At 47.8% G+C, this 21,951-nt stretch overlaps 1 protein-coding gene and 1 long non-coding RNA gene across 5 annotated transcripts in view, besides 2 other annotated features; one reads left to right on the top strand and one right to left on the bottom strand.

Moving 5' to 3' along the window:
• Positions 352-852: an enhancer, noted in NCBI's record as "H3K4me1 hESC enhancer chr6:168390864-168391364 (GRCh37/hg19 assembly coordinates)". NCBI's record gives its function as "activates a minimal SCP1, AML or CMV promoter by ChIP-STARR-seq in primed H9 embryonic stem cells {active_cell/tissue: H9 hESC(primed)}" and the evidence as "EXISTENCE:reporter gene assay evidence [ECO:0000049][PMID:30033119]".
• KIF25-AS1 (KIF25 antisense RNA 1) lies at positions 4,355-7,245 on the bottom strand. The gene is made up of 4 exons (NR_103750.1): positions 7,074-7,245; positions 6,406-6,769; positions 5,681-6,271; positions 4,355-4,632 (listed from the first exon to the last, which is right to left on the bottom strand). It is a non-coding gene; the product is annotated as a KIF25 antisense RNA 1 (long non-coding RNA).
• Positions 7,246-7,838: 593 nt separating this feature from the next.
• Positions 7,839-21,951, top strand: part of KIF25 (kinesin family member 25) — a 47,421-nt gene continuing 33,308 nt past the window's right edge. For 2 of the 4 annotated variants that reach the window (NM_030615.4, NM_005355.5), the window contains exons 1-4: positions 7,839-9,038; positions 9,260-9,488; positions 12,711-12,827; positions 13,782-13,871. The gene's annotated coding sequence lies outside the window, so the exon portion shown is untranslated. Of the gene's footprint in view, positions 9,039-9,259; positions 9,489-10,687; positions 12,828-13,781; positions 13,872-21,951 lie in introns of those variants that run through there. The other 2 variants (XM_047418749.1, XM_011535803.4) reach the window with 2 other exon arrangements.
• Positions 17,292-18,491: an enhancer, noted in NCBI's record as "BRD4-independent group 4 enhancer chr6:168407804-168409003 (GRCh37/hg19 assembly coordinates)". NCBI's record gives its function as "activates an origin of replication core promoter dependent on BRD2, P300/CBP, MED14 and CDK7 cofactors, and independent of BRD4, by STARR-seq in HCT116 cells {active_cell/tissue: HCT116}" and the evidence as "EXISTENCE:reporter gene assay evidence [ECO:0000049][PMID:35650434]".

Here is a 21,951-nt window from a genome sequence, read left to right on the forward strand (position 1 = left end):
GTCCTTTGCCCAACAGGTGGTGACTTTATTTCCATCCAACTCCATCCCTCAGCACCCCCAGCGCAATCCGGCCTCCCTGTACCCACGCAGGCCCGCTCCCCCGTCTTTCTGTTGCCCACGGCCAAATCCCCCAAAGCCCAGGGCAGCCCCACGTTGAGCGCAGACCATCCTGGCGCCATGGATTTTCTTAGAACTGCCGTTCCACGCCGGGTGAGTCCCCGGGGCTCTGGAACCGTGGATTTTCTGGGATTTGCCGTTCCACGCCGGGTGAGTCCCCGGGGCTCTGGAACCGTGGATTTTCTGGGATTTGCCGTTCCACGCCCGGTGAGTCCCCGGGGCTCTGGAACCGTGGATTTTCTCGGAATTGCCGTTCCACGCCCGGTGAGTCCCGGAGGCTCCGGAACACGGTTTCTAACGCGCAGGCTGATGATTTCTAACACTCACGTGCGTGGTATTTCTTTCTTCCCCAGAGACGATCTGAGCCTTTGGGGGCCGGGGACTGAATTTGGCTGCAGCCTCTTCTTCAGTCCCATGAGGGTGGGAGAGGCTTCCCGGGCCCCCGCTCAGGCCCCACGGATCCGCCGGTGCCCTTGGCGGCCTCTTCACCCCCCGGGGCTCTGGGGAGCCTCGCTCCTCTGCAGTTCTCTGTTAACACCTTTCCGCTTCTGAGGAGCTTCACACGGAGAATACGGCGATTTTCTGACCTAATCGCACCCCCTCCGCGGCCGTCTTTGCTCCACAGTTAGTTTCGGTGACTTTGCAGCCTCCCTGCCCCGCTGCGCCCGGCTCGCCCCCGTCCCTCTGCTCCTGAGGCCCTGAGCTTGGCCGTCTCTGTGCCAGGACTCGGGCCTGGGCTTAGCTCCCCGGAGGCACCGCAGGCAGCGCGCGACCCCGAGCTCACACGCGGGCATCGCCGAGTCACACGTGGGCATCCCGGGCCTCACACGCAGCCCCTCTTCCAGGACGTTCTGCCTCCCCGCACCTGGCCGGGACCCTCAGGCTCAGCCCTGGGGATGCCTCCCCGACGGCTCCTGTGGCTCCGTGCCCCGCGCGCCCCTGGATCACCTGGAGTTGTCCCCACCGTGTTCCCTGCTGCAGTGAGTCCCATGCAGGGGTGGTGTCTTCTCTTACGTGGGCAGGTGCATCTGGGACAATCAGCAACCATTCTCTTCTCAGAGGAAAGAGGAGAGGTTCAGCTCTCCTCTGCTTCAGCTTCGAGGTTTTAAGACTTTAAATTGTCTTTGATTATTTTCTATGCAATAGTACAAGGGAAAGATTGAAAAGAGTCGCAGTGAGGCCACGCGGATTTCCACCCTGTACAACAAACAGCAGTGTCTGCAGAGAAACACACGCTCAGCCTTGAGCCAGCTGGGTCATGTCATTCAGGTAAAAACAGCTTCACCAGAAGCCAGAGTTTTAATTCATGCAGTGAATGTTTATGTTTGTTTCTGGTGAAATGGTTTAAATTATGCTTGTCAAAAGACATGTAATCTTATGGAAGTAAAAGAAGCCTTCATTGAAACCAGGAAAGCCCCTCGTGTGTTAGATACAAGTTTCCATCACAGGCCCAATCTGGTCTTCTTTAAAAGAGTATACCATCGTTACTATTTTCTTTTTTTAGAAAAAAAAAAAAAAAACACCAGAGTCTCGCTCTGTCGCCCAGGCTGGAGTGCATGGCGCAGTCTTGGCTCACTGCAAGCTCCACCTCCTGGGTTCACACCATTCTCCTACCTCAGCCTCCGGAGTAGCTGGGACTACAGGCGCCCGCCACCACGCCCAGTTAATTTTTTCTATTTTTTGGTAGAGACGGGGTTTCACCGTGTTAGCCAGGATGGTCTCGATCTCCTGACCTCGTGATCCGCCCGCCTCGGCCTCCCAAAGTGCTGGGATTACAGGTGTGAGCCACCGCACCCAGCTTATTTTCTCTTTCTTTTTTTCTTTTCTTTCTTTCTATTTATTTATTTATTTATTTTGAGATGGAGTCTCACTCTGTCACCCAGACTGGAGTGCAACGGCAGGATCTTGGCTCACTGCAACCTCGGCCTCCCCGGTTCAAGTGATTCTCTTGCCTCAGCCTCCTGAGTAGCTGAGACTACAGGTGCCTGCCACCATGTCTGGCTAAGTTTTATATTTTTAGTAGAGGCAGGGTTTCACTGTGTTAGCCAGGATGGTCTCCATCTCCTGAATTTGTGATCCGCCTGCCTCTGCCTCCCAAAGTGCTGGGATTCCAGGCGTGAGCCACCTCGCCTGGCCAAAATTGTTACTATTTTCATAATCAATTGCAGATGTTGTTCACTCTGGGAGTTCTGCTTTCTAATACACACTAAACAGAAGACTAAACCTAAAACCAAAACAAAACATAGGATTGGGATTCTGAGCAAATATCAGAAGGAAAAATACATTTTGTCCATGAAATGAATTATTTCAAATAGCTGTGGTAGCAGTTCAATTTTCTGAGTCAAAATTCTCATTTTAGTTAATCAAATTAAATCATTAAACTAAAATCTTACTTTAGTTAATCAAAGTTCTCAATTTAATTTTAATGTTAAGTGGTAGAAAACATGTTTATACATGTTAGACTAAATAGATCTGGTACAGCATGTCATCAGATGTGAACAGCTCCTGTTAAACTACTAATAATTTCTAGAAAGTTAGAAAAATTGTTATTCCCTATAGTATATTTGGCAATTCTCCAGGGTGAGCTTGTAGGAGGATATTTTTATACCTTTGGTTGAGAACATTGTTTTACCTTTTGTTTTAAACAATGTGACCATATAATTACTACAACAATAAAACATCTGTAAACAGGATTAATCTGTTCTCTATGTTAGTCAGAATTAGAGATATCCCACCCCCTCGTAAGCTGCATTAGTGTATTTAGAATAGATTTATATAAAATTAATTTTCATTCTCTTCCAACTGAATAAAATTAATTGAATAAGTTGTATGTATAACTTTATCTGTACTCCATATAAGAAAAACACTTTAGTTTTGATATTAAAATGTTTATTAATTCGTTATTAAAATGTTTCCCAAACATATGAAAGCCGTCTCCATTTTATAGAAAAGGAGATTTGACTAAAGAAACGAAGAATACTTTAGTTATGCTCCTGTGATTTAAGAGTATCTGATATTAAATATTAAGCAGTAGTGTCCTGGTTCTGTCACATCTTCCCATGGAAGATCCTTGAGATAATTTCATGGGGAGAAGAGGACTTTCCACGCAGGACATCAGTTGCTTTGCTCCCAAAGTTCTCTAAAAGCGTTCATATGTATTGTGCCTGGAATTTTATTATGTACATTTACATGTTAAGTTGTTTTCACCGGCCCACGTTTTCCACCATGTGCTCGTGATAATTGAGCTTCCAGAAGGCAGGTCTGGATAGTAGATTAGGAGGGTGGTCCCCATTTCACAGGCGGTGATGAGAGGCTCTGAGCCTGAGCCAGCATCGTGAGGAAGTCAACAATAGACGGAAACACGGCTCGCGCCCAGCATCGCCCCACCGTGCAGTGAGCGGCCCTTCCTACGGAAATTGGTGAAACACTTGACTTTCTGTTTCTTAAATACTTTAAGGGCATAAAATCACATGTACTGCTTTGAAAGTAGAAATCCCAGATGTATTGAGTCAGAACTTCTGTAAGTGAGCCGAGGCACAGGCAGCATGAAAACAGTCCTGGCGGGCATCGACAGGCCCGGGCCGAAGAACTTCTGCTTTACACCCTTCCAGTTAACAACATATCCCTTATATTAATTGTGTGGGTATGTTATTATTCTATAGAAACATATATAACAAATTCTTATGTAATTATACTGTGATCATTAATCATATAATTTTATGAATCGTGTATGTTCTTATTTTATAGAAACTTAACCAGGATATACAGGCGTTTCATTCTTCTTCTCGGGCGCTCTTAAGAGATTATCAGGATGAGTATCAGGACCGTGTTTCTGAAATAGTGACCGCGGTGCAAAGAACACAGCAGAGTGCCGAGACCCTGCTAGGTAGGAGGGCACCTTTCACCGAAGCCGGGCCAGTCCACACTCGAGAGAAATGTTTGCAGTTTTAAGAAAATGACCGGCTAGAATTTAAGTTTCCATTTCTTCTTCCTTTTAGCTGACACCAAATTCCACAGGTGAGGGCAGGCACTGTGTGACTCGGCCACGCTGGCAGGTGCACTGCTCCCTCCCAGCTCCCACTGCAGCCCTGCTTGCTGGAGGAGCTCCTTGTTCTCCTGGTCACCACAGGGCACTTCCCCGGTCTTGACGGTCACTGCTGAACTGGCACCTGTGTCCACGTTGGGCGTTCTGTGTCAGAGTTTCCTATAATATGACGTGAGATTTTTTTTTTTTTGTCTTATCAGTTCAGTTCTTTCTTCATTTCTAAGAATGCCACAGCATTTTGGCTACTCTTTTGTTATAATGGATTTATTATCTTCAGCTACTGTGCTTGAAGCCTGTGGAAGAGGTTACTTTGGTTCTGCAGTTTTAAACTCATCGTCCAAATTGCACTAGCCGGCCAGGCCCGATGGCTCATGCCTGTAATCCCAGCACCTTGGGAGGCCGAGGCGGGCAGATCACATGAGGCCAGGAGTTTGAGAGCAGCCTGGGCAACAGGGTGAAACCCGTCTGTACTAAAAATACAAAAATTAGCCGGGTGTGGTGGCGCATGCCTTCGATCTCAGCTACTTGGGAGGCTAAGGCAGGAGAATTGCTTGAACCCGGGAGGCAGAGTTTGCAGTGAGCCGAGATCGCACCATTGCACTCCAGCCTGGGCGACAGAGCAAGACTCTGTCTCAAAAAAACAAAAGAACCAAATAGCACCATCCCCACGTTCGTCTCATGCTCACAGCTTCTGCCCAGTGTTCAGTGTGTCCACAGGCCAAAGAGATGATGGTCAAGTTAGGAACTTGGTCAAGGGTTGTGCTGCTGATATTCCAAAATAGGTGTGTGGAAACTTTGGAACCTGTACTGATCTTCTGCGAGGCTACATGATGTTTTATTGAAATCACTGCTGTAGCCTAGTTTTCTTCAGTGCACTCTGCTCAGTAACTCCCCTAAGGCCGTGTTTGTAGGAGTGACGTGTGCATGCCTGTGTTCTTTTTTTGGGGGGCGGGGGGCGGCGGGGGACAGAATCTCACTCTGTCGCCCAGGCTGGAGTGCAGTGGCGCCATCTCAGCTCACTGCAACATCTGCCTCCTGGATTCAAGCTATTCTCCCACCTCAGCCTCCCGAGTAGCTGGGATTATAGGCGCCTGCCACCACGCCTGGCTAATTTTGTATTTTTAGTAGAGATGGGGTTTTACCATGTTGGCCAGGCTGGTCTCGAACTCCTGACCTCGGGTGATCTGCCCGCCTCAGCCTCCCAAAGTGCTGGGATTACAGGCACGAGCCACCACAGCCGGCAACGCCTGTGTTCTTATAAGCCATGTGCTCCAGGGAAAGGGACAATCATGTTATTTTGTGAAAAGCAGTGTACTTAAGCTTTGAAAAGGTGAAACTCAAAGGGAGAAGCAGGGAGCCGCCAAGGCTCTCCCGCAGAGGGAATGCTGACGTGTGAGGAGGCAGGGCCTGCTGAGGCCCTGCCTGTGGGAGCCACGGTGCAGTCCTGCCACACAGAGGGGTCCCCAGGCGGCTTATTTGTGCCCAGGCGTTAGGCTCAGGGGCTCGGGGCCTCCTTACCTGGCTTCCCTGGGGGCGCGACTTCTCCCCTCGAGTTCCATGCTCCTCAAAGATGAGCCTCAGCCACCTCAGGTGCCCAGGCAGCTCCTTTCAGCCGTGCTGACAAGAGGGATAGTGGGGACAGGCTGGTGGCTGGGGCCGGACACACTCAAGGCTCAGATGACCAAGTGACTGGGAGGGTCTCTCTCTTGCTGTGGGGGACCCTTCCCGCTTTCTTACGCCCACATTCAGTCTGGACCCGGTAACGGGTGTTTCTTTCAGAAAGGGAGCGTGCGCAGTTCTGCAAGTCCAGCTTGGTTTCAGGCCTCATGAGAGCTGCATCTGCGCTGAGGGGTCCTTGTCCCTGCAGGTCCTCGGGCCTGGGGTAGAAAGCCCCAGGCTGGGCTGCATCCTTTGGCTAAGTGACATGTGGAGGGGTCCCTGGCTATCATGACGCGTACAGCCGCGAGGCGTCCTCTGCAGCACGACACCGAGCTCCATGTCACACTCACGCTGCCTCCACGGCAATGGCCAGTCTGGGGATTGGGGTGTCCACGCTCGTCCAAGGCCCCCACGCGATGCCCACTCATCGCCACATCACCTGGCACCATCCTGGTAGGACAGAGGCGGGAGTAGAGGCCCAGGCCACTGTAACAATCCACAGCAGCAGAGCTGGGCCCCAGCATCTCCTTCCCTGCCCCACTCCCCCCTCACCAAGGGCTCCCAGGTGCTTTAGGAGCAGAGACCTCCTTGGCTGCCATGCAGACGATGGAGCAGCATTCACGGGCTGATGGCATTTGAGGCTGATGACGGACGGGGTGACTGTGGGGCCAGGTCCCCCAGGCGAGCTCTGTGAGTCCTTGGTCGTGGTGGAGACAGCGCAGCCTGGGTCCAAAGCAGTGAGGAGCACAGGCCACAGCACGCAGCCGGCCCTGGAGGACTCCATTATTTTTAAAAATGTCTCCCATACTTAGAGAAAGGAATTTGACCTGCTGGGCCCCATGGATGTCCTCTCCGGTAAAATGCCTCCGTCCCTTTGTCCTTTCAGCATGCCAGTCAAAGGTGGCGCACCTGGAGCGGGCCTTGCAGGACGTCAGTGCGCGTCACCAGCTGGAGAGGCAGAGAAGGAAGGTCCCGCACAACAGCCTGGTGGTGGGTGTGGGCGTCAGGGGAGACCTGGGGCGGCCCCGGGGAGAGGCCCACGCAGAACGTGCAGAAGCCTCCTCGCCGGAGGGACAGCGGGAGGGACAGCGGGGGGACAACAGGGGGGACAGCGGGGGGGGGACAGCGGGGGTGTGACAGCGGGGGGGACAGCGGGGGGGGACAGCAGGGGTGGACAGAGAGGTGGACAGCAAGGGGGACAGCGGGGCGGCCTGGCCGGAGGGCAGAGGGGCAGAGCTGCGGGGGCTGCGACCTGCGTCCTCTTCACCCAGGAGGCGATGGCAGCTGGAGGACGGGTGAGGGCGCCGCAGGCTGATTTAGGCTTTCGGGGTCACTCTGGCTGCTCGGTCGGGAGGCCACGACGGGGAGCAAAGGGGATGGCTGCAGTGTCACGGGGGCTGGTGGCCTGGGCCACATTGGTGGCGATGCAGGAAGTGGGACCGGCTGCTGTGAGGCACAAGGAAAGAGCTGTAGCGGGCAGTTGGGGGCGGGGGAATCTGCAGAGATGGGGGCGGGGGAATCTGCAGAGATGGGGGCGGGGGAATCTGCAGAGATGGGGGGCGGGGGAATCTGCAGAGATGGGGGGTCGGGGGAATCTGCAGAGATGGGGGGCGGGGGAATCTGCAGAGATGGGGGGTCGGGGGAATCTGCAGAGGTGGGGGCGGGGGAATCTGCAGAGATGGGGGCGGGGGAATCTGCAGAGATGGGGGCGGGGGAATCTGCAGAGATGGGGGGCGGGGGAATCTGCAGAGATGGGGGGCGGGGGAATCTGCAGAGATGGGGGGCGGGGGAATCTGCAGAGATGGGGGGTCGGGGGAATCTGCAGAGATGGGGGGCGGGGGAATCTGCAGAGATGGGGGGCGGGGGAATCTGCAGAGATGGGGACTTGCGCGGGAAAAGCAAGGATTTTGCTGTAACTGGAGATGCCGGTGGAGACTGCCCCTGCCCCTGCCCCTGCCCCTTCCTCACCAGCACCTTCCACCCACGTCTCTCACTGCCCATTAACAAGACCCAGAGGCTCTCGTGCTTTCTTGGTCGAAGGTATGAGACCTGAGATCCCATGAAATTTAATGTAAAGTCTCAGGGTTTGATTTTGCAACACGAGGATGCCAAGGTGGATGATTGAGTGGGTGACCCTCGCTTCTGTGAGGTTTGATTTTGATGGTTGCACTTTGGCCAGTTTCTCCGAATTCCACCTGCCCGAGGCCCACGAAGCCAGTGTTCCTGCGAAGCTTCTCTTCCCTGGCCATGCCGAGAGGTTCTCCAGCTGTTAGATGTGTCAAAGAATAATTCTCATTTTAAGCATCTACTTATGTAGTTCAGTGCTCCAAACATTGATATAAGAGAACATTTATTGAGTGCTTCCTGTGTACCAAGTACTTTTGAAACCATTTGGTGTATTTTCTTATTTAATCTTCACAATAGCACCACCTCTCTGGGTTGCTATAAAGACAAAGGGAGATATCAGTGAAGCACCTGGCACTTCAGAAAGTCTCACTACGCTGCAGCTTTTTTTTTTTTTAATCTGGAGCATGAAAAAGATAATATGAACCTTCCTAAGATGGAGTCAAGTCCCACAAGGAAGAATTGGTTGTGGAAGTTTCTGAGTGTTCCACCTCAAGCCTGGTCTCCTGGTCTAGCTGAGGAGCGTGCAGTGCGCGGCCCATGGAGAATATGCAGGCAGAGGCTGATCCCAGCTTCTGTGGGTTCATAGAGACCAGACGGAGGCTGTAAATCATTGGCCTATGACACCCACTTGGTTTTCAAAATGTAGAAGGAGCTGCTCAGCATGACAGGGTGGATAAACTTGCTGTGGATCCAAGACAAGATTTCAGAATGGATTTGGCAAGTTCTGAGCACATACGGAGAAGATGTGTTGCTCACTGGAAACCAGTGGAGTTTATGAGAATAAAAAGCTTCTAATTTCCTTCCAGTCATTAAATCAAGGAAATATGACAGATACTGAATTTCCAAAATCCCCTCTAAAATGCCTAAAATGTCGAGCCCAGGATGCCATTCAAAGGGATTTTCCTTGGTACTTATTACCAAGGGATACCCCTTTGCCAAGTGAACACATTTGTGAAGTATGAATCCAGAAGTTTAAAATAACTGTTCATGGCCGGGCACGGTGGCTCATGCCTATAATCCCAGAACTTTGGGAGGCCGAGGCGGGCGCATTACCTGAGGTCAGGAGTTCGAGACCAGCTTGGCCAACATGGTAAAAACCCTTCTGTACTAAAAATACAAAAATTAGCTGGGCGTGGTGGTGGGCACCTGTCATCCCAGCTACTCTGGGGGCTGAGGCAGGAGAATCACTTGAACCTGGGAGGCGGAGGTCGCAGTGAGCTGAGATTGCATCACTGCACTCCAGCCTGGGCGACAGAGCAAGACTCTGGCTCAAAAAATAAATAAATAAAATAACTGTTCACTACCCTGCAGGGGTCTTTCGAAGTGGAGACAGGTGCTGCAGATCTCACGGCCGCGTCTCAGGAGCTGGTGCCCGGTGCACGTTCAGTGGGGGATGCTCCGCAGTGCAGGCTCGCGCCCGGGTTGACACGCAGACCTCTTGATCATTGCAGGAGCTGAAACGAAATATCAGAGTTCACTGTCGGATTCGTCCTTTGTTGCCTTTTGATAGTGAATCCGACGATCCAGTTTTGCAGAGCAGGTAACCTGTGTTTGCACGGTGTGTGTATGTCTGTGTGCTCAGGGAAAAGACAGAGGAGTGGCACAATTTTAAATGCCGTCTACTGTCCTGTCCCCGGTCCCAAAGCAGGACATTCTCGAGTTGTGGGTGGGGGCTCTGTTTAAGGATGGCGCTGTCTTGCTGACAGTGGACACTCTGCAGCCCTCTGTAATACGGCCTGCAAAAGGCCAAACTGCCTGAGCAGGCCTCTCGTGCGTGGTAGTGGTTCTGCACCTGAGAGGGCGTCCGTCTTTTCGTGGTTTGCCTCTGCGGGGTCCGACCGAACAGGGACAGGCTTTGAATGGACTTTTCCCTTTATGTCACTATATCAAAAAGGGAGCACCCTGCCTTTATGAACCCCAAAGACCACCCACTCCGCCATGCAGGCAGTCAGTGAGTATTGACTCAACTGATACTTTTGACTTAGAGAAAGTTTTGATGGTATTCATGGATACAGCAAAATTATCTGAAGTTCATTTACTCAAATGCTTACTTGAAAACCATACTCAATATGACTTACTTCCTTCCCCATGAAACAAACCCCCTGGAAATCCCCACTCCCATCCTGACCACACCTGACCCTCCCCACTCCCATCCTGACCACACCTGACCCTCCCCACTCCCATCCTGACCACACCTGACCCTCCCCACTCCCATCCTGACCACACCTGACCCTCCCCACTTCCATCCTGTCTACACCTGACCCTCCCCACTCCCATCCTGACCACACCTGACCCTCCCACTCCCATCCTGACCACACCTGACCCTCCCCACTCCCATCCTGTCTACACCTGACCCTCCCCACTCCCATCCTGTCTACACCTGACCCTCCCCACTCCCATCCTGACCACACCTGACACTCCCCACTCCCATCCTGACCACACCTGCCCCTCCCCACTCCCATCCCGACCACGCCTGACCTTCTCGCCCTCCCTCCATAAACCTGCCCCTCCCCACTCCCATCCTGACCACACCTGCCCCTCCCCACTCCCATCCTGACCACACCTGGCCCTCCCCACTCCCATCCCGACCACGCCTGACCTTCTCACCCTCCCTCCATAAAGCTGCCCTTCCCCACTCCCATCCTGTCTACACCTGACCCTCCCCACTCCCATCCTGTCTACACCTGACCCTCCCCACTCCCATCCTGACCACACTTGACCCTCCCCACTCCCATCCTGTCTATACCTGCCCCTCCCCACTCCCATCCTGACCACACCTGACCCTCCCCACTCCCATTGCCGACCACATCTGACCTTCTCACCCTCCCTCCATAAACCTGCCCCTCCCCACTCCCATCCTGACCACACCTGGCCCTCCCCACTCCCATCCTGACCACACCTGGCCCTCCCCACTCCCATTGCTGACCCTCCCGCCACTCCAAGGTGCTGCGCTTCCCGGCTGTCCCAACGCCATATGGGGTTGGCCGTATGCACCAGTTTGCTAGGGGCACTGGGTCCCACTCCTGACTTTGCTTTGCTCAGGCTGTTTTTCTGGTCTTGGTTTCCTCCACTTAATCTGTCCAAATGAGCTTTCCCTGGAGGGCCTGGCTTGAGCCTCACAGTGTTTGCATCCTGCAGTTTAGCACCTGACTTGAGAAGGTCTTTAGAAAGCACTTGGCCGGTTCTACAGTGTGAAACAAGAAATTCGGATCTTTTGATAGTCATTGAAACTTTTTCTTTTCAAAGTGTTTAGACATGATTGTGCTGGCTCTAGTACTTTCTGCACTTTTTTGACTGGTGGCCACTTGTCACTTGTCAAAGGACTGGAAATTGGGCCTGTCGGATACGTCAGTGTGGCGCGGGACAGGCCAAGTGGCCCTCATTCAAAATGTGTGGGACCAGAAGAAGTGTTTCCGATGTTGAATTGTTTCATATTTTCGAATGTTCGTGTTTTGTATGGACCGGTTCAGCAAGATAATCCAGTGGGCATTTTCTTTCAGCGTCATCTCAGTGCTCAAAACGTTTTGGATTTTGGAGCATTTTGGATTTCAGGTTTTTGGATGAGGGATGCTCAGCCTGTAGTTAATGGCCCCCAGCGGTGATCAGCTTTCCTGAACTTGCCTTTTACATGGCACTTCCAGACGGCTTTTGTTACACACCAGCCTCCCTGCGAGCCTCCCACCATAAGAGGCACATACATGCAAATGAATGCAAATGAAATCCCATCAGAAATGGGGCTCCTCAGCTGCAGTAGCCTCATCTGAGGCGTGGCCTCGGGCAGGTGAGAAGACACCTGAGGCGTGGCCTCGGGCAGGTGAGAAGACACCTGAGGCCGTGGCCTCGGGCAGGTGAGAAGACACCTTCAGGCGTGGCCTCGGGCAGGTGAGAAGACACCTGAGGCGTGGCCTCGGGCAGGTGAGAAGACACCTGAGGCGTGGCCGCGGGCAGGTGAGAAGACACCTTCAGGCGTAGCCTCGGGCAGGTGAGAAAGACACCTGAGGCGTGGCCTTGGGCAGGTGAGAAGACACCTGAGGCATGGCCTCGGGCAGGTGAGAAGACACCTTCAGGCGTAGCCTCGGGCAGGTGAGAAAGACACCTGAGGCGTGGCCTCGGGCAGGTGAGAAGACACCTGAGGCGTGGCCTCGGGCAGGTGAGAAGACACCTGAGGCGTGGCCGCGGGCAGGTGAGAAGACACCTTCAGGCGTAGCCTCAGGCAGGTGAGAAAGACACCTGAGGCGTGGCCTCGGGCAGGTGAGAAGACACCTGAGGCATGGCCTCGGGCAGGTGAGAAGACACCTTCAGGCGTAGCCTCGGGCAGGTGAGAAAGACACCTGAGGCGTGGCCTCGGGCAGGTGAGAAGACACCTGAGGCGTGGCCTCGGGCAGGTGAGAAGACACCTGAGGCGTGGCCTCGGGCAGGGGAGAAGACACCTTCAGGCATAGCCTCGGGCAGGTGAGAAAGACACCTGAGGCATGGCCTCGGGCAGGTGAGAAGACACCTTCAGGCGTAGCCTCGGGCAGGTGAGAAAGACACCTGAGGCGTGGCCTCGGGCAGGTGAGAAGACACCTGAGGCGTGGCCTTGGGCAGGTGAGAAAGACAGGCAAGTTTCCATAGTCCCAGAGGCTTCTTTCTCCTGGATGGTGCGGCTCTGGGCTGTTTGGCTTCTCAGAGCTTCCTAAGAAGCTCCATAAACGTGTGTGTGGACTGGCACATTGTTTGTGTTCATCGGCTTTTGGTTTTGAAACATGTTGCATTTTTTCAGATTCATGATGGCTTGCAGATGCTTGATTTCCTGAAGGGGAGAACCTGATGAGCTTGTCTTCTAGATCAGTGGTCCCCAACCTTTTTGGCATCAGGGACCAGCTTCCTGGAAGACCAGGTTTCCACGAACTGGCGGGCCGGGGCAGGGATGGTTTCAGGATGACTCAACTGCATTTCATTTATTGTGCACTTTATTTCTATTATTATTACACTGTAATATACAACAAAATAATAATACAACTCACCACAATGTAAAATCAGTAGGAGCCTTGAGCTTATTTTCCTGTAACTAGAGGGTCCTATCTAGCAGTGATGGAGACAGTGACAGGTCATCAGGCATCAGAGTCTCATAAGGAGTGTGCAACCTGCATCCCTCACATGCACAGCTCACAGTAGGGTTTGTGCTCCCAAGAGAATCTAATGCTGCTGCTGGTCTGACAGGAGGTGGAGCTCAGGCAGTGATGCCAGTGATAGGGAGCGGCTGTAATTCAGAGAAGCTTTGCTCACTTGCGCACCGCTCACCTCCTGCTGTGCAGCCTGGTTTCTAACAGGCCTCCATGGCCAGGGATTTGGGACCCTTGTTCTGTATCACCACCGCTCTAAACTGCGCATGAAGGAGATATTTAAGCGTTCTTACTGGAGTATGGATGACTCTCCCATGCAATGCAGACAGGGAAGATGAAAACAAGAAATAAAGAACAGGGGTATTGGAGTAAAAAAATCAAGAGAAGACAAAAGGGGGTGGGGAAGAGAAGAAAATAATACATAAAAAGTAAAGAGTAAAAAAAATAAAAAGCATAAGGTCCAAAAGGACGAGTGGAGTTTTAGAAAAGGATGGAAGGGTGGATCCATGCACACAGGAAGAGGAGGAAGAGGAGCCAAGCCAGTGTCCTGGGAGACCAGGACAGAGACAGAGATGATGGCAGAGAAGCAGAGGGGTGTTTTAGAGTGACCAGGACAGAGACAGAGATGATGGCGAAGAAACACAAGGGTGTTTTAGAGGCTGAATGTTAGGAATTCAGAAAGCAATTTCTTCATGATGTGTATTTTCAATGTTGTTTCATTCCCTCAGCTCCATCTCTAGAGAAGCGGCCCATGCTGTTGATGACCTGAGTCTACAAGTTTCCTCACAAATTGTATTCAGAGAGCAGCTTCCTGCTTGGTGGGTGTCCGTAGTCCCCACAGATCCCTACAATGGAGAGCAACTCAGAGACTGAATAAATAGAAAATAATTTATTTTAGGCTTTCTTAGTTAAGAAGAGTTGTTTTTGTTCCTTGATTTCTATTGGAACATGAAATTAAGCATTTGACATGCTTTCCTTGTGGGAAACCAGCTCCTGACCCGTAGTTCTATGTGAGGAAGTTACTTCACTTCCATTTATTTTCCAGCCCAAATGATCAATCAGTGCAAATATGAGCAAGTTCTAAAATTTAGAGCACCAGGAAAAGAGATATAAATATAAAATCAGTGATATCATGGGTGAACTTTGTGATTCTAAACTGGAATCAAGCATGATTTTGTTTCTCCTGAAAGCCTCCTTGCTTTTTAGTTTTATCCACGAAAAGGCCGAGAAGTCAGAAGGAGCAGCCCAACACCCCAGGGGTGTCTGAGTACCAAGCCCACTGCAGGAGAAAAGCTCATTTGACACCTCGCATCTGGGCCAGGAAAGGAAGTGGGTGGGAGGAGCCTGGGGCACTTGGGGAGCTGAACAGCAAGGGAGGCCTCAGAACAGAACGGGGGCTGTCCCAGCACATGGAGCCCACGGCAGGCACTCCCTCAACGCGGGATAGAAGCCTGGGGATTAAGGAGGGACTAAAGCAGATTGAAATATATAATTATATGTACAATCTTGAGTTCATAATAATGAGTTTTTAAAAAGACCTCACATTAATTTTTTGGGTGCTAGAACATCAACTCATTATTCCAAAAAGTGATAGAAAGAGAAAAGGGTTGTGATGTCCTTCCTGTAGGAAACATACTCAGGGCAGATGCATGGTTTTTGAGGGAACAGAAGATTCTAGGTAATAAACTCAACAAATGATAAAACTGGAAAACCATCATTTGAAACCCCCAATGAAATGGTGACTCTAGGCCCTCAGAGGATGCTGGTCAGGGGTTGATGGGATCGTCACGATGAGGGTTCAGGGTTGCCTCAAACCCTCTAAGCACTTTCTCCTGAGTGGACGCTGCTCAGGGGTTGATAGGATCTTCACGACGAGGGTTCAGGGTTGCCTCAAACCCTCTAAGCACTCGCAGCTTCCCTGAAGTTGGGATGCAGAGACATGATGTCCCGAGGTGGTGCAGCAGGTGGGACACAGTGGGACTGATGAAGCACTTTTGCTTCAAAATCAAACCAGCATCTAATCAAGTCTTGGGGACAGTCATTTTAAAGGAGAGAAAACCATCTGCCAAGCCAGAATGCGGACATTTCACAGAACAGACTGCCTGGCTTCTCTAGTAATAACTTTTGTTTTTAAAGGCAGGAGGACACAGTAGAATGAGACGTGTCAGCCTCAGTGTGTCCTGGTTTGGAGCCTGGTGTGCACGAGCCACCTGTCACAGGCGAGCTTGGCGTGCACGAGCCGACTGTCACAGGCAAGCCTGGCATGCACGAGCTGACTGTCACAGGCATTGTTGGGACAGTGGGGGAAGTCCGAATGTGTCCTGGGTATATAGGGGGGCAAACCTTCTCCTCTATCCTCCTAGGGTCCCTGGTGGAGCCTGAGAATGGAATTGGCCTAAGGCAGGTTGACGGGGAAGAGCATCGGATTTGTTGAATGTGGGGTCTACCTGACACAGAGCCCCCCGGAAAATGAAGAGTTGAGGAGTGGCACAGCCTGCACGCTGCCCTGCGGGGTTGGGCAGAGGCCACTGTGGACAAGCAACCAAATGAGATGGGAGACAGAGGGAAGGCGAGGGCTGTGCTAACAGGTCTGTCTGTGCAGAGCTGCTCAGCTTCGACCCTGTATTAGCCAGGGATCTCTAGAGGGACAGAACGAATGGAATAGATACATATGTAGAGGAGAGTTTATTAGGTATTAACTCACACGATCACAAGGTCCCACAACAGCCATCTGCACGCTGAGGAGCAAGGAGAGCCAGTCCGAGATCCAAAGCTGAAGAACTTGGAGTCCGATGTTCGAGGGTAGGAAGCATCCAGCACGGGAGAAGGATGTAGGCTGGGAGGCTAGGCCAGTCTCTCTCTTCACATTTTTCTGCCTGCTTTATATTTGCTGGCGGCTGATTAGACGGTGCCCACCCAGATTAAGGGCGGGTCTGCCTTTCTCACCCCACTGACTCCAATGTTAATTTCCTTTGGCAACAGCCTCACAGCCACACCCAAGATCAATACTTTGTATCCTTTAATCCGCTGATCAAGTTGACGCTCGGTATTAACCATCACAGACCCCATCTACTGACGAGAACATGCTTTGTTCCTGGCCCAGCAAGGGCGGCTCTCATGGGAGGGTCAGGTCCTGCCTTCAGTGCAGGAGGAAGAGGGGAAGCTGGAGTGCTCTGCATGAGCCTCCTGCTTCTCAGGAACCTTTAAGTAAAGATAATCCTGATGCCAAAGTGGCATATTTTGGGGTGACATGTTCTGCCACTCTCCATGTGACATTAATTTTGTAAAGTGTGATGAATGGCATGGTGATTGTATTCTATTTCTTTTTTTTTTTTTTAGCGATGGGGGGGTCTCACTATGTTGCCCAGGCTAGTCTTGAACTCCTGGCTTATGTGATCCTCCTGCTTTGGCCTCCCAAAGTGCTAGGATTGTAGGCGTGAGCCACCACACCGGGCAAATTGTGCTTTAAAAGTGTTCTTATCATTTAAAAATGCAGCCTGTAATACTCAGCAATACAACGATCTGTTGTCTGGTTTTGAATGTACAGTATGCTGAGGAAAGGGAGGTGGGTTTTGCAGGAGTGTCTGTGAAACAAGACTGGCCGGATATTCCACACTTGTGGCACCGGGCGATTGCACCTGAGGACGTCTTGTGCTGTTTCCCCCATTTCTGTGTACGTTACAAAGTCCCCAGTGAGAACAGTTAAAAAAATGCTGGGCCTCTCCTTCATTCAGCTTATTATGGTGATCACAAGATGAATTTAGAAAGCACATGAAATGCTAAACACTTCACTAACATTGATAATTTTGAATTCAGGAAAATCTCAGGTCATGTAGGACACAATGGCCATTTTGAAGATGATTTTGTGTCACGTTGATTACCATATGCGGTTCTACAAGGCCCGTCACCTGAATCAGTCTGATGATGGTTACGTATTGTAAACTTTAGAAACTCTTTTTCAAAAGGTAGTTTTAGTTAACGGACTGATAGCCTTATACTTTTTAAAAAGGCCAAGAAAATTGTTATAGCCATACTTTAAAATTGCTCTTACTATGTCCCCAGAAAGAAAAACTTTTACAATTCTTTATTTTAAAGTATTATTGATTGATTGATTGATTCAGCTTTATTTAGGTAAAATCGACAAAAATTGTATACATTCGACATCTACAACATGATAATTTAATATACAGATGTATATGATTACCATCCATCTTTGGATGACACATGTGGTAATCAGTTTTACAACTGAGCATGGTGGCTCACACTTGTAATCCTAGCACTTTGGGAGGCCAAGGCAGATGGATCACCTGAGGCCAGGAGTTCGACACCAGCCTGGCCAACATGGTGAAACCCTGTCTCTACTAAAAATACAAAAAATTAGCTGGGCGTGGTGGTGGGCGCCTGTAGTCCCAGCTACTTGGGAGGCTGAGGTAGGAGATCGCTTGAATCCGGGAGGCAGAGGCTGCAGTGAGCTGAGATTGAATCATTGCACTCCAGCCTGGGCAACAAGAATGAGACTCCATCTCAAAACAAAAACAAAAACAAACACAAAACCATACAATCAGTAAAATGATTACCACAGTCAATGGTAATGACTACCAGGATGGCTAAAGAGTAGAAAGGGGGATTTTATCAGTGATATCAGTTTGCAAACTGAGAAGAGACAGTCTCCAGCTCTCTCTGTTAAAAGGTGAACTCCAGGACACACAGTTTGTGCACAGTCTGTATAAGCTGGCCGAAAATAGCTGGAGGTCTGCAGCTGCTTCTCAGGAAAGAATTGTGCAAGGCTGATCCTCTGCCTAATCAGGGTTGCGGTGGTCTGGGTTGTGAATCAGAGTTAGGGATTTTCCTGATGGCTCCCGTTGTTAGGGAGTTTAGCAAGAGTGTGGTTTTTCTTGTAGCCACAGGAATTTAGGAAGCTGTCAGGCAGCCAAGCCCTGAACCTCTGACTCATAGGTACCTTTTATTTCCTTAATCTTAGGATCCATCTTAGTTGATAAAGAAGCATCTATTGGTCTCTCAGATCACATTTCCCTGTTGTGGTCAGTCATAGCTTGGATTTCTGTGGGCCCACAGGCCCTACTGCATCACTCTTATCTTAAATGGCCTGAGAGAGAACTTCATGGATTTGTTGTTCTTTCCTTTAATAGAACATTCTCTTTAGTTTACTTTATGGATTTGGCCTACCTTATGAAGGAATACTGTATGGATTTGGCCTACCTTATGAAAGAATTTCTTCCTTGAAGCCAAAAGAGATTCCCATAAAACCTTTTCCTGAAGCATTTCCTCTGTGTTTTCTTCCAGTAGTTTAATCACTTTGTGTCTCACATTTAGGCCTTTGATCCATTTTGAGTTGATTTCTGTATAGTGTAAGAGGTGGGGGTCTAGTTTCATTCTTCTGTATATGGATTTCCAGTTTTCCTAGTACCATTTATTGAAGAGACCATCCTTTCCTCAATGAGTGTTCTTGACATCTTTGTTAAAAAATCAGTTGACTATAGATATGTTGGTTAATTTCTGGGTTCTCTATTCTGTTCCACTGGTCTATGTGTTTGTTTCTATGCCAGTACCATGCTATTTTGGTTACTATAGCTTTGTAATATATTTTGAGAGCAGGTAGTGTGATTCCTCCAGCTTTGTTCTTTTTTCTCAGCATTTCTTTGGCCTTTTGGAATCTTTTGTGGTTCCATACAAATTTTACAATTTTTTCAATTTCTGTGAAAAATGTCATTGGTATTTTGATAAGGATTGCATTGAATCTCTAGATTGCTTTGGGTTGTATTGTCATTTTAACAATTTTAATTCTTCCAATTCTTGAGCATGAGATGTCTTTCCATTTGTTTGCATCCTCTTCAATTTCTTTCATTAGTGTTTTCTAATTACCCTTTTAGAGGTTTCTCACCTCCTTGGTTAAATTTATTCCTAGGTATTTTAAATTTTTTGCAGCTATTGTATATAAATGGGAGTGCCTTTTAAATTTATTTTTCATTTAGTTCATTGCTCATATATAGAAACAATACTGATTTTTTCATATTAATTTTGTATCCTGCAACTTTACCGAAGTTGTCGATCAGTTCTAAGAGATTTTTGGTAGAGTCTTTAGGATTTTCTATATATCAGATCATGTTATCTTCAAGCAGGAACAATTTGACTTCCTTCTGTATGATTTGGATGCTCTTTATTTCTTTCTTTTGCCTAATTGCTATGACTAGGACTTCCAATACCATATTGATAAGAGTGGTGAGACTTGGCATCCTTGTCTTATTCCAGTCCTTAAAGAAAAAGCTGAAAGATGTTAGGATGTTAGCTGTGGGTTTGTTATATATTGTCTTTATTATATTGAGGTTGTTTTTTTCTATACCTAATTTATTAAGAGTTGTTTTTTTTTATCATGAAAGGATGTTGAATATTTTGAAAAGCTTTTTCTGCATCTTTGGAGATGATCACATGATTTTTGTCCTTCATTCTGTAGATGTGACCCAATTTGTTTAGTGATTTGCATATTTTGAACTGTCCTCACATTTTGGGATAAATCCCACTTCATCATGGTGTATTATCTTTTTGATGTGCTGTTCAATGCAGTTTGCTAGTACTTTGCTGAGAATTTTTGTAACTATGTTCATCAGGAATGTTGGCCTATAGTTTTTTGTTATTGTTTTGTCATTGTCTGGTTTTGGTATCCCGGTTATGCTGGCCTTGTAGAATGAGTTAGCAAGAATTCCCCCTGCTTCAGTTTTTTTTGCAATAGTTTCAGAAGAATTCGTATTAATTATTCTTTAAAGGTTTGGTCGAATTTAGTAGTGAAGCCTTCTGGTCCTAGACTTTTCTTCATTAGAAGACTTTATTACTGACTTGGTCTCATTACTTGTTATTGGTCTGTTCAGATTTTTAATTTCTTTTTTGTTCAATCTTGGTAGATTATATGTATCCAGGAATTTATCTGTTTCTTCTAGGTTTTTGAATTTATTGGCATATGGTTGTTTATAGTAGTTCTGGATGATCCTTTGTATTTTTGTGGTAGCCGTTGTGATATCTCTTTTTCTGTTTCTGATTTTATTTGGGTCTTCCTTCTTTTTTCTGTTAGTCTGGCTAATGGTTTGTTGATTTTCTTTGTCTATTTTAAAAATTAACTTTGTTTCATTGATCTTCTGTATTTCTTGTGTCAATTTCTTTTATTGTGGTTCTAATCTTTATTTATTTTCTTCTATTAATTATGGGTTTGATTTGTTCTTGCTTTTATAGTTCCTTGAGGTGCATCATAATGTCATTTATATGAATCTTTCCAGTTTTTTAATATAGGCATTTATTGCTACAGACTTGGCTCTTAATACTGCTTTTGCTGTGTCCCATAGGTTTTGGAATGATATATTTCTATTTTAATTTGTTTCAGAGAATTTTAACTTTTTTGCTGTGTCCCATAGGTTTTGGTATGATATATTTCTATTTTAATTTGTTTCAGAGAATTTTAAATTTTCATTCTTAATTTCCGCCTTCATCCATTGGTCATTCAGGAGCATGTTGCTCGATTTCCATGTATTTGTGTATTTTCAAATGTTCCTCTTGTTATTGATGTGGACTTTTATTCTGTTATGGTCGAATAAGACACTAGATGTGGTTTTGATTGAAAAAAATTGTTGAGGCTTGTTTTGTGTCCTAACATGTGGTCAATCCTGAAGAATGTTCCATTTGCTGATGAAAAAATGTATTCTGTAGCTGTTGAGTGAAATGTTCTGTAAGTGTCTTCTGGTCCATTTGGTTTATGGTGCAGTTTAAATCCAATGTTTCTTTGTTGATTTTATGTGTAGATGATCTATCCAATGCTGAGAGTGGGGTGTTGAAGTCCTCAGTGAATATTGTATTGGGGCCTATCTTACCCTTTAGATCTAATAATGTTTGCTTTATATATATATGGGTGAAAATATATTTACAATTGTCATATTCTCTTGCTGAATTGATCCCTTTATTGTGTAATGTCCCTCCTGTCCTCTTTTTTATGGCTTTTAACTTGAAGTCTGCTTTATCTTACATAAGTAAGGCTACTCCTGATTGCTTTTGGTTTCTCTTTGCTTGGAATATTTTTTTCCATCCCTTCACTTGCAGACTATACGTCTCTTTACAGTTGAGGTGAGGTGAGTTTCTTGTAGACAGCATATAGTTGGGTCTTGTTCTTTAATCTGTCAGGCAGTTTACATCTTTAAAGTGGGAAATTTAATTTGTTTACATTCAAGATTATTATTAATAGGTGAGGACTTACTCTTGTCATTTTATTGACTGCTTTTTGATTGTTTTGTCTATCCTTTGCTTCTTACTTCCTCTCTTATTGTTTATTTTTTGCATTTAGGTGGTTTTCTGTAGTGAGTCTGATTCCTTTTGGTATCTTCTTTTTGCATTGGCTATACAAGTGACTTTTATAGTTTTGTATTTTTTATGATGGTGGTTATTGTCTTTTCACTTCCACATGTAAGACACCCTTGAGTATTTCTTGTAAGTCCCGTCTTGTGGTAATGAATTCTTTTAGTTTTTACTTGTCTGTGAAAGATTTTATTTTTCTTTCATTTCTGAAGGATAGCTTTGCTGGGTATAATATTATTGGCTGAATTATTTTTTTCTTTCAATCAGCAGTTTGACTATATTATCCCATTCTCTCCTGGACTGCAAAGTCTTTGCTGAGAAATCCACTGTTGGTTTAATGGACTTATATGTGACTTAATGCTTTTCTCTTGCTGCTTTTAAAATTATTTGTCTTTGACTTTTGACAATTTTCCTACAATGTGCCTTGGAGAGGACCTGCCTGGGGGTTCTTTGAGCTTCCTGGACCTAGATGTCCATTTCTCTCACAAGACTTGGGAAGTTTTCTGCTGTATTTTTATTAAATATGTTTTCCTCAGCTTTTCTCTT

Source organism: Homo sapiens, chromosome 6, assembly GCF_000001405.40.
Source record: "Homo sapiens chromosome 6, GRCh38.p14 Primary Assembly".
Lineage (NCBI taxonomy): Eukaryota > Metazoa > Chordata > Mammalia > Primates > Hominidae > Homo > Homo sapiens.